The 12,397-nt window shown below is 49.6% G+C and overlaps 1 annotated feature.

Annotated features, from left to right (window-relative positions):
- Positions 8,797-8,997: a silencer, noted in NCBI's record as "peak4252 fragment used in MPRA reporter construct". NCBI's record gives its function as "represses an SCP1 promoter by STARR-seq MPRAs in K562 erythroleukemia cells {active_cell/tissue: K562}" and the evidence as "EXISTENCE:reporter gene assay evidence [ECO:0000049][PMID:32103011]".

Raw genomic sequence — 12,397 nt, 5'->3', positions numbered from 1 at the left:
AACAACAAAAATCTCTCTAAAAAAAAAGCTCAAGGGGAGAGTTTTGTGTTTTTTTGTTTGTTTGTTTGTTTTTAGATGGACTCTTGCTCAGTCGCCAGGCTGAAGTGCAATGGCACAATCTCGGCTCACTGCAACCTCCGCCTCCCGGGTTCAAGCGATTCTCCTGCCTCAGCCTCCCGAGTAGCTGGGACTACAGGTGTGTGCCACCATGCCCAGCTAATTTTTGTATTTTTAGTAGAGACGGGGTTTCACCACGTTGGCCAGGATGGTCTTGGACTCCTGACCTCAGGTGATCCCCCTGCCTCAGCCTCCCAAAGTGCTGGGATTACAGGCGTAAGCCACTGCGCCTGGCCGAGATTGTTTTCTTTTTAACTCACCACCCAACACTCCTATCTTGAACTTCATTAAGGGATGTGATGCTTGGGGCTGTGGCAACTATATTGTTACTGTGGGGCCACAAGGCTAATGATAAAAAGCCAACACAGAATGGCTAAATATGAAGGCTGAAAGTAGCTGGATGCTGAATGACATTGCTGAGATGCTTTTTTGACCCTGAAGCCATCAACTTTCAAAGTGTTGTCTGCGAAATAATAGAATGCCTTTACTGTTTAGCCCACTGTGACTGGGGCATTCTGAAGCTTTCAGCAGAAGGCATTGCTAACTAATACACTTATGCTCAGGCTACCATATTTTGGTCCTGCAGTTTCTACCCAAAATTCCAAATGATGGGACTATCTCTTATTTCTAGGATTGGCTGACACGCCCATCTCCCACCTCCCCTTCTTGGGAGCTGACGAACAGCCTGTTGAATCTGCTTAGATCCTTTGCAGGGTGAATGAAATATAAGGAAACTTCTTGAATGAATCTTTGACATTGACTCACCTTAAACAGGCACATTTGCTTATATTTTGGGGCTTGGATTCTTTGATGTATTATCAAACTTCAGAATTCACAGCTTTCAGGGAATTTTTGACTGTATCAGTTTAGAAAGACTTGGATGCAAATAACAGAAGAATTATAATGACTAACAATTATATGGTGAGTATAACTTGCCAGGTAGAGTAATTAGCACTTCATTTACGCTAACTCATTGAATAACTTTACAACAACCCTATGTAGCGGATACTATCGTTCCCTCCATTCTCCATATAGGGAAACTGAGGCACAGAGCTAGTCAGTAACATAACTGGGCTGCCACAGTATAGAGCCAATTAGCTTCGGCTAATATAGAGCCAATTAGCAAATGGCTTCGGCCATAACGACATCCATCATTTACTTAAAACGAAGTTTGGCATTGTCAGCCCAGGAGTCCTCCAGCCTAGACCTTGGCCATGCTCACTGTCTTAAGATGGGGGCTGGGATCCTGTATCCCTTTTTCCCAATGGATGTGTCCAAAACAAAAAGGGAGGAACAGCGGCAGTAGTGCCAACTCCTTAGGGAGAGAAAGTCTCCCTGGAGCACTCATCCCCGCTGACTTCTTGTTGTACCTCATTGGCTAGAGTCAGGTCACATGCTCACCTTGGTCCAATCACTGGCAGCTTGGAATGGGTGTGGCATGCTTGACTAGACCAATCACATTCATCCCCTGGGGCCAGGCACTATGGCTGCCATTAACCAGGGTTCAGTTAGTGAGGAACAAGGGAATGGGTGTTGGGCAAGCAGCTGGTGTCATCTGCCCCAGCAGCTGACGTTTACTGAGCATGTACAGTGAGCCAGGCTCTGTCCTAAGCTCTTAATGTGTAATATCTCATCAGGTCCTCTTGTTATTTATTATTATTTAGAGACAGGGTCTTGCTGTGTTACCCAGGCTGGACTGCAGTGGTGTAATCCCAGCTCGCTGCAGCCTTAAACTCCTAGGCTCAAGCAATCCTCCTGCCTCAGCCTCCCCTGTAGCTAGGATTATAGGAATGAGCCACCACACCTGGCTAATTAAAAAAAAAAAAAAAAAATTTTTTTTTTTGTAGAGATGGGGAATCTCGCTATGTTGCCCAGGTTGGTCTCAAACTCCTGGCCTCAAAGGATCCTCCTACCTCAACCTCTCATGCTGTTATTAACCCTGTCTATGAGGAACAACCTGAAACCCAGAAAACTTAAATGACTTGCTCAATCAAGATCACTCACCCAGCAAGGTGACTAGTCTAGAGAGGGTTACCAGATAAAATACAGGATGCCCAGTTAAATTAGAATTTCAGATACACACAAAAAAAAATATTTTAGGAAGCTAAGCAGTGGTGTGAGGGCTCAGGCACACTTCGTCTGCATAATAAGCATGAAGGAGTATCTCTTGGTTCCGCAAAGAATTAGACATTCCCCCATTTTTCATGAAACTTGACCCCTTTTGGATTAGCACTTGTTTTCTTCTTTTTGAAAGAGATACAGTTACAGAGAAATACGTCCCTGCTCTCAGAAAACAACAGTGTATGCATTTTGATGAATGGCACCCGACATTCAGCCTCAGGACCAGGGAGGCAGCAGGGAGAGTTGGGGAGTGTGGGGGAACTGGTGTGTCCACTTCAAATACCCCTGTCCCCAGCTGACGGTTGCCAGGTGGGAATGTGGATTTAGCCCAGTGAAATCTTACAGTGTTTTAAGGGAGGTAGAAATCTGAATTTTTATGTGAAATCTCTTGATTTATGAACATTAGCTCAAATTTAATTAAAATGCCCTGTGGGCCAAAGGAAATCCGTCTGCTGGCTTGTGGGCAGCCGGGGGAAAGCCTCTGCTGATCGGCTCTGGAAGTGGAGGCTGCAACTGCCTCAAAAAGAGGAGCGGAGCAGAGGCTGGGCTGGAGGCAGCCTGGGGCCTGGAGTGTGCTTAGGGTTAGGAATTGCAGCCAGACCTGGGTTCCATTCTCCTCTCTGCCAGGTAACTGCTGTGTGATGGTAGATGGGTTGCACAGCTTCTCTGTTTTCCAAAGCATTTAGAGTAAGTAATTGTATCCATTCTCCTGTGAGGATTCTGCTGAAGGAGCTGACACAGTCGAGGCACCTGGCGTGTAGTGGGTGCCCAACAAACACGAATCCTCTCCCCTCCCCTCCCAGGGCTCACTTAGGAGTTGGGGATTTGAACACTGCTTTTCCAGCTCCCCTTCCCTCCCTCTCCTCACTCCCTCCTTGCTTTCTCCTCCACCTCTTCCTGCTTCCTTTCTTCTCATTTTCTCTCTTCTGTCATTAAACAGTGGGAAAAATTAGGACCAGGTGTTAGGAGACCTGGGACCGGGCCCTGGTGCTATTCCTGTCTTGGGGTGAGACTTGGGGAAAGGCTTTTCTCATGGGACCTTAGTTTCTTCCTCTGTGAAATGGGCAGTTCTGATTGGAGACACAGGTGCACTTCCTGGTGCCAGGGTCGTGTGATTCTGTGGGGCCTTGGGGGTCACGGGGGGAGATGGCAGCCTTGGTGGTGATGGGAGGGGGTGGCTGGGGTAGGAGGCATGAGTCAGAGTGTGCTCTCAGGGCTGAGGAGCAGGAGAACATCCCGGCACATAGCACCCAGTGATTAGCAAACCGCAGGAAGGCAGAAGGCCGAGTCATCAGCGAGCTTGTAAACACTGTCCAAGGAGAGCCAGGCCCTGCTTGTCTGGGATTGGCCACAGGCCCCTCCCAGGGATTTGGGGTCAAAGTTCTTCATAAATCATCCTCCCAGAACACGAGAGCCCCACCCTCCTTCCAGACTTTCATTTATTTATTTATTTATTTATTTATTTATTTATTTAGAGATGGAGTCTGTCTGTGTCGCCCAGGCTGGAGTGCAGTGGCGTGATCTCGGCTCACTGCAGCCTCCCCATCCTGGGTTCAAACAATTCTCCTGCCTCAGCCTCCCAAGTGTCTGGGATTATAGGCATGTGCCACCACACTTAGCTAATTTTTGTATTTTTAGTGGACACGAGGTTTCACCATGTTAGCCAGTCTGGCCTTGAACTCCTGATCTCAAGTGATTCGCCCACCTCGGCCTCCCAAAGTGCTGGGATTATAGGCGTGAGACCCCACGCCTGGCCCCTTCCAGGCTTTCTGTGATCTGACTTCTGCTCACCTCTCCAGGGCCATCTTGAGACACCTTCTCTCTCACCCTTCTCAACTCTTGCCAGGCCAGAGCCTGGTGAGTTTCTGGATATATGCAGCTCTCTTCCTGCCTCCAGCCCTTTGCACAAACTGTTCCCTCTACCTGGAATGTTCTCTCCGTCTCCAGACCACAAGACAAAGTGTCCTTATCATTCCAATTTCAGCTCAAACATCACCACCAGTGGGAAACCCCCTCCCATCCCCAGGTGAACTCAGGTCCTCTTGTGGCCCCATTTACCTTCCCTCCAAACCACTGGCAGCCATCTGGGAGCTGTATTTATAGGCTTTTGTGTTTGCTCAGTCTGTCTCTTCTTTTCCTGAGGGTGGGGACTGGAGGAGTCATTTCTGCTGCCGTAAGTCAGTACCTGGCACAGAGCAGGTCAGCAATGAATATTTATGAGAGGAATGAATTGGTGAGTGAATGAAGTGCTCAGAAGGGTTATGGCAAATCCTCCAGGAGCCAGGGGAGCTCGGCATTCTCTCCATTAGTGATAGCATATCAGCCCAACCCTCTAATATTGCCTCACTGTACTTAGAGGAGAAAAAAAAAATCCAGATTTTTCCCTTGGCCTTCCCGTTTCTCCCAGGATCTAACCTGCTGAACTCTCTGACCTCCTTTCCTACCAGCTGTGCCCGCCTCCCACTGCATCCCTGTCCCAGTTCCAGCCATGCTGGCCTTTCTGTTTCTTTACAATACCAGGCTTGTTTCTGCCTCAAGGCAGCTTGCTTTTCTGTTCCTCGTGTTTGGAATGCTTGTCCCTCAGGCCTTATTATCATTTATATCTCAGCTGTGCTGCCTCCTGAGGGAGGCATTTTCCCACCCTCATTGTCCAAGAGATTACCCTGTTTTGTTCTTTCCCAGGATACATCACTATCTAAAATTGTTTTGTTTATTTACAAATATTTGATTGGCTTTTAGCTGAGTTCATGGCTGTGCAGAATAAACACAGACCTTCCTAGCTTCCCTTGCAGCTAGGTGCAGCCATGTGCCTGAGCTCTGGCCAAGGGGTTGAAATTAGTAGTGTGACAGGTTTCTGGACTGTTTCCTAGAGATTTAGTTGATGCCTGCCTTTTACTCATCATCCTTCCTTCTCCATCCTGTCATTCTGGAAGGCAGACGTGAAGGCCGGTGCAGTGGCCTTCATCTTGGATCATGAGAAAGTGGGGCCCACACCTAGAGATGGCAGACTGGTGTCCAGGAAGAAGCTGAGATACTGAGAGCTTCATAGAGTTACCAAATCCATCCCAAACTGCCTACATCTGGACTTCATTCACATGAGAGGAAAAGAAACTCCTCTTTTATTTCTTAATTTTTTCCAAATTTGGTTTACTACATTTTATTATGACTACATTTGTATGTCCCCAGGCAGTACAATCTGATATAAAATGTCAGCTAGAATACACACTGGGTCTTTTAATTTTTAAAATTTATTTGTATTTTTATTTATTTATTACTTTTTTGTTTATTTATTTTATTATTATTTATTAATTTTTTGAGGTGGAGTCTCGCTTTGTCGCCCAGACTGGAGCACAATGGTGCGATTTTGGCTCACTGCAACCTCTGCGTCCTGGGTTCAAGTGATTCTCCTGCCTCAGCCTCCCAAGTAGCTGGGATTACAAGCACCCGCCACCACACCTGGCTAGTTTCTGTATTTTTAGTAGAGATGGGGTTTTGCCATGTTGGCCAGGCTGGCCTCAAACTCCTGGCCTCAGGTGATCTGCCCACCTCAGCCACCCAAAGTGCTGGGATTACAGGCGTGAGCCACCAGGCCCGGCTGGGTGTTTTGATTTTAAAATGTAGTCTATAGGGCTTTATCAACTCTGTCCAGAATTTTGGTTGGAGTTATTAGAGGAGACCTGGGCCAGAGAGAGGAGATCACTTGCTTGAGGCCACACAGCAGGGGAGGGGCAAAGCTGGGGTTTCACCCCAGGGCCCTAGATCCTAACCCCCCAGCCTCATTTTTCAGAAGTTTCCAGCTTGAGGTGTTGCTGGGCTTCCTCCAGGCTCAGCCCGGACATTGGGCAGTGTGATCTACACCTACTCTGCCTCTTAGGGCAGGAGAGTCTTTCTTATTTCTCTGGGACCCAGAGCAAGGTGGAAAATATGAGAGAGACCCCCAGCTATGGGATCCAACAAGGGTTGAGTCCCAGCTCTAGGCTCTGCCGCCGGCTGGCTGTGCACCTCAGGGAAGACCCCAACCCCTCTGAACCTCGGTTTCCTCATCTAATAATAGCCTCGAGCAGGTCAGTTGTCCTGTAGGTTCCCCGAGGTGCTGTGTTTCGAGTGTCTGACCCCTCAAGAAGGATACAGCACTACTCCCACAAAGTAGGAATTTCTGGAACACAGGCAGTGTCATTGGTGTTACAAGGAAGTAGGCTACTTAGTGCAAACTTTGGAGTCCGTTCTGGGTTCAAATCCTGGATCTGTAGTTAGCCACTGTGTGGTGCTGAGTAAGTCACCTTCCTGGTATAGTTTTCAACCATTTTCCTGGTTGGAAAATGGGGGTTCATTTGTTGGTTCATTCACCCAATACGTATGTGCTGAGCACATCTTTGTGCCAGGCCGTTTCTGGGTGCTGGAGATGCGCAGTGAGCAGGATAGGCAAAGTCCTTCCTCATTTGGGTCCAGACAATGGAGAAACAGACAGAGGTGTAGCACACGGGATGATGATGGGACACACACAGCAAACTGAAGCTGAGTGAGGGAGCGGGAGCCCTGGGAGGGTTCCCGGGGCCGGGATGGTCAGGACACCACCCTGCAGGGGACACTGGGACAGAGACCTGACCGACATGAGGTTCTAGCCCAGCTAAGCCCATCCTTCCCATTTCCCAGAACTGTTCTTGAGCCTCTTCTAGCTGGAGTCTTCTTCAAAACAAGAACCATGCAGTGGCCAGCTCCGTGTCCTAGGCACCAGCCCAGCGATGGCCGAGTGAGGCATCCGCTTCTCTTCATCTGCCATTCTTTCCTGCCTGGACAATCGCAGTAGCCTCTCCACATGGGTCCTCCTGCTCCCACCCTCACCCTCCTACAGTCTATCCTCCCCACTGCATCACACTCAGTTCCTCTTGTCGCCAAAACAAATGACCACTAACTTAGTGGCTGAAAACAACACATATTTATCCTCTTAAAGTTCTGGAGGTGAGAAGTCGAAGTGTTGGTGGGACCACTTCCTTCTGGAGGCTCCAGGAGAGAATCTGTCTCCTTGTCTGTTTCAGCTTCTAGTGGATGCTCATGGCCCTTGGCTTATGGCCCCACCCTCCACTCTCAAAGCACATCACTGCAGTCTCTGTTTCTGTCATTCTCTCTCCTCTTTGCCTTCTCCTCCTCTGTAGGCAGGTCTCCATCTGCCTCGTGGTATAAGGACTCCTGTGATTAATTGGCCCCACCTGGGTGATCCAAGATAATCCTCCCATCTTCAGAGCCTTCACTGAATCACAGCTGCCAAGTTCCTTTTGCCACATAAAGTAACACTCACAGATTCGGGGAATTAAGACATGAACATCTTTGGAAGGCCACTATTCAGCTAACCAAAGCATTCAAGATGATCCTAATAGAACCTGAATCAGACCCTGTGCCTCCTCCTCAAAACCTTGCTATGGCTCCCACCTCCTACATGCAAAGCCCTTATAGTGGTCACATGGTATCACACATCTCTTCACTTGTGACTTCCCCATCTCATCTTCTTCTCTCCTGCCTCACTTGGCTCCAGTCACTGGCCTCCTGCTTGTACTTCAACACTCCAGGCAAACACTTGCGTCAGAGCCTTGGCACATGCTGTTCCCTATACCTGGGACTTTTCATTTCATTTCTTTTCTTTTCTTTTTCTTTTTTCTTTTTGAGACAGAGTCTTGCTCTGTTGCCCAGGCTGGAGTGCAGTGGTGTGATCTCGGCTCACTGCAACCTCTGCCTCCCGGGTTCAAGCGATTCTACTGCCTCAGCCTCCCGAGTAGCTGGGACTACAGGCGCCCGCCACCACGCCCGGCTAATTTTTGTATTTTTAGTAGAGATGGGTTTCACTATGTTGGCCAGGCTGGTCTCAAACTCCTGACCTTGTGATCCGCCTGCCTCGGCCTCCCAAAGTGCTGGGATTACAGGCGTGAGCCACCGTGCCAGGTCTTCTTTTCTTTTCTTCTCTTTTCTTTTTTCTCTTCTCTTCTTGTTCTCTTCCCTTTCCTGTTCCCCTTTCCTTTCCCCTTTCCTTTCCCCTTTTCCCTTTCTTCTCCTCTCCTCTCCTCCCCCCTCCCTTCCATCCCCTTTCCTTTCCTTTCCTTTTCCTTTCTTTCTTTTTTTTGAGACGGAGCTTTGCTCCGTCTCAAAAAAAAAGTGCTCAGAAGCTCAGAAGTGTCACCCAGGCTGGAGTGCAGTGGCACAATCTCAGCTCACTGCAACCTCTGCCTCCCAGGTTCAAGCAATTCTCCTGCTTCAACCTCCCAAGTAGCTGGGATTACAAGTGTGCGCCACCACGCCTGGCTAATTTTTGTATTTTTAGTAGAGAGGGGATTTCACCATGTTGGCCAGGCTGGTCTCGAACTCCTGACCTCAGGTGATCCACCTGCCTCAGCCTCCCAAAGTGTTGGGATTACAGATGTGAGCCACTGCACGTGCTCTGTTGCCTGGAACTTTTCATTCCTGCCTCTTCCTAAGACTGGACCTTTCTCTTCCTTTGGGTCTCATCTTCTCAGAGAGGCCCTGTTGGACATCACCCTCCCTAGAACGGCCCTTCTCCTGCCCCACAGTTGCATTTCACACAGTCAAAAGTGACCTTGGTTGTGTGTTTGTTTTCTTGTCTATCATCTGCCTTCCCCACCAGACTGTCACCTCCTAAAGACCCAGGAGGGGCTGGATCTGTCTGGTTCTCGGCTGTATCTCCAGCACCATGGACAGGGCCTGGCACTTAGTAGGTGCTCAGAAAATACTTGCTCCATGAATCCATATTTGGTTTATTTCAAATGTCCCTCAATGCTGCCATGAATAAAATATAAATTCATTTTAAGGCATTCGTACATTCCCAGTGACTTTGTGGCTTGATCTTTTTTTTCTGTCAATGACTAAGATGACCTTCATATATTGAGAGGATGCGAAGCATTGTCTGTACTGAGCAAGTGAGGACTCAGAAGGCCTCGAATGGAGGCAGGGGTGTCTTAATGCAGATTGGCAGTGGGGTCTTATGGAAGAGCAGGGCATGAAGTGGGCTTCTTGTGCAAGTGGCACCCTCTCTCTGTGCCTCAGTTTCCACATCTATAACATGGAGATTGTAACAGAACTTACCTTATAGTCCCACCCTCTCTCTGTGCCTCAGTTTCCACATTTATAACATGGAGATTGTAATAGAATTTACCTTATAGAAGGTTCTTAACTTTGGTGCTACTGACATTTGGAGCTGGATAATTCTCTGCTATGGGGGTTGTCTTGTGCACTGTAGGGCACTGAACAGCATCCCTGGCCTCCACCCATCAGATGCCAGTAACTTCTCTCCAGTTGTGACAACCCCAAATGTCCCCACATATAGCCTAATATCTCCTGTGGGGGCAAAATCACTCCCAGCCAAGGACTGCTCCCTGGTCAGATGATCCGGGCGCTTGTGTTGCCACCCGGCACAGGCTGCTGCTCAAGTTGTGCAGGGAATCGTAGCTGCTCTGTGGTTAAGTGGCTGCCTGGCCCTGCCACTCCTTAGCAGGTGGGCTTGGACCAGTGACTCCAGCTCTCTGAGCCTCAGCGTCTTCATCTGTAAAATGAGATAATGTTAGCACTTCATCTCTTGGGGCTGTCAGGAGGATTAAGTAGATTAATCCTGTGAAGCGCTCAGAAGCATGCCTGGCACACAGTGAGAATTTGAGGCCGAGGCTGAGGCTGATGAAGGCTTCTGGGAATAGTGGGAGCTAGAGAAAGGGATCTTTGCATCCTCACCTCAGCAAGTGCTACCTGAGGCCTCTGGCGTGTGTGCCCCTGCACTAATGGAGGACATGCGGGAACGGCTGCCCCCACCCAGACAGGCGGCTGGCTCAGTCCCTCAGCCCTGCCAGGCCATTTAACAATTAAGCGGCTGAGGGGTGACGAGGCTGGAAAGCCAGAAGTGACCAGGGTCTGGCCTTGCTTGGCTTTGGTGACGCGATGGCCTTGGGATCATGGCCTTCTTGAACCCATAAGCAGGGGGTTGGGCCCCAAGACAGGCAAGGCCAGGCCAAGGTCTGTGCTGGTGGCCTCAAGCTGAAGCCATGCAGGGACAGGAAGGGGGTTGTTCCAAGGCTACAGGGAAGGGAGTGCTGTGGAGCGAGAGTTTCTGTCCATGGGGGCGACCCCCATCCACTCACACTCTGGCATTCCATTTCCCACTTCCCAACTCTTTCTCAATTTTCACCTCCAATTTATTGAGCACTTACTACATGCAGGGCTCTGCCAAAGTACTTTACACAGATCTGACTCCTGTTCTCCCTCTCGCATCATGGAAAGGGGCTCTGTCCCCTCCCCAGATGAGCGAAGCCCTGTTACTCAGACTCCCATTGCACCAGGTAAGGAGTGGAGGCTCTCAGAGGTGAGTCAACAGCTCACAGGGGCAGAGTCAAAGCCCCAGCCCAGGTCTGGGGTCTCCCAAGCACCTGCCCTTAACCGCACAGCCCCTGCTAGGCCTCCTCTCTCTGTCATTTCCCCCCCAGCACCTCCACTTTCCTCTCTCTGGCTCTTGCTGTCTCTCTGGCTCTTGCTGTCTCTCCAGCTTTCCCTGAACATCTTCCTAGTTGTGTTTTTCTCCTTCTCTGTGTCTCTTTTCTGTCTGTTTCTCTTTTTCACTTTCTCGGTCTCTCTCCCTCCCTCTGTTTCCTTCTCTCTCCATCTGTTTGTGTTTCTCTTTCCCATCCCCTGTCTCTCGCTCTCTCTCTCTCACTCTGCCTGTTTCTCTCTCTCCCTTTCTCTCTCTCCTCCTCTGCCTGCCCGCCTCCCCTGGCCGCCCCGCCTTGCGGCTCTGTCTCTCTGCAGTCAGCCCTTGTCCCCACGCCAGCACATTATGTCCCTGGTCAGACCCTGACGTCAGGCGGGGCCTGGCGGGCGGCCATGGGACACTGCCGGGCAGGCGAGAGGGAGTGCTCGACTTCCCGGTCCCCACTGTAGTGGCCGCCTGCCCGCCGCCCGGCCTGGCCTACCCAGCCTGGCAGCAAAGCTTCACTTCTCCCGGCCTAGCTCAGCTGGCTGGAGAGTGGACCGCGCTTTGTGGCTGCCTTCCCTCTGAGCCTGGGGCTGCAGGCCACTCGCCTTTCCCTTCCCCTGCTTCGACCCCACAACCACAAAAGACTTGGTCCCAGAGGGTAGGCAGTATTGCATGGGGCCAAGTCTTGGCTGTGTGACAAGTCACCCAGCCCTCTCTGAGTCTCCTTGTAAAACAAAGCCATTGAGGCACCTGCTTCTCAGGTCTGCAGGGGGTGTCAACCCACAGTGGCTCACAGGACAACAGGAGCGAGGCCCCAGCAGGAATTCAGTGTCACTGCAGTGTCTAGGCCAGCAGTCTTCAAGGAGGGGAGGCTGGCAGAGATGGGGGATCTGAGTGTCACAGTGACAGGGGAACATGGCTGACGAGCAGGCAGGGATGTGCCATGGGGGACTGCCAGGCAGGACAGCCCCACCCACAACACAAACAGTGCCCTGCCGAGAAACCCTCCCCAAGCTCGGCTGGTCTCAGGTCCCATCAGAGCTTAAATAAGTGGTTTAAAAAAATGTCATATTTCTTGTTTGGTTTGTTTATTTTTTCCCCCTGATTTTCAAAGCAAAGTCGTTTCCTTGAAGGACATACCAAGGGTACTTGAGCTTTCTAGTTTAGAGACAGACTTTAGGATCTGATCAACGCGGGTCAAATCCGGCCGGGTGACCCTGGCCGGTGACTTTGTGCTCTGAGCCTCAGTTTCCTCATCTGTCAAATGAAAGTAAGGAATGAGAAGGTCATGGGGATGAAGCAAAAGCATGTTTGTAAAGCACCCAGAATGGGATCTTGCCCGTGGTAAATGGTCTATATTCGGTAGTCTTTTTTTCTCGTCTTTTTTTATTCTTCTTATTTTAAATATAGGAGACACAGAAAAGTACAAAGAAGAAAACTAAAAAGGTGACCCAGAGAGAACCACTCTAAGATGTGCACGGGAATTCAGCTCAGCTCGCGTATTTAAATTGAGATCCTACTGTTGTCTGTTTTTTCATTTTTCACGAAAATAAAACTTGACTCAAAGTTTCATTTTAAAATACCTTTGCTTATTACTATTATTTGAATACTTACATATTCAAAAGGTTCAAAAGGTATCCAGGGAGAAGTGAGGATACCTCCTACTCCAGCCTCTGTTGATTGGTTTCTTGTGTATTC

The sequence above is a fragment of the Homo sapiens genome, chromosome 20 (assembly GCF_000001405.40).
Source record: "Homo sapiens chromosome 20, GRCh38.p14 Primary Assembly".
Lineage (NCBI taxonomy): Eukaryota > Metazoa > Chordata > Mammalia > Primates > Hominidae > Homo > Homo sapiens.
This window is presented reverse-complemented; position numbering and strand designations above follow the sequence as displayed.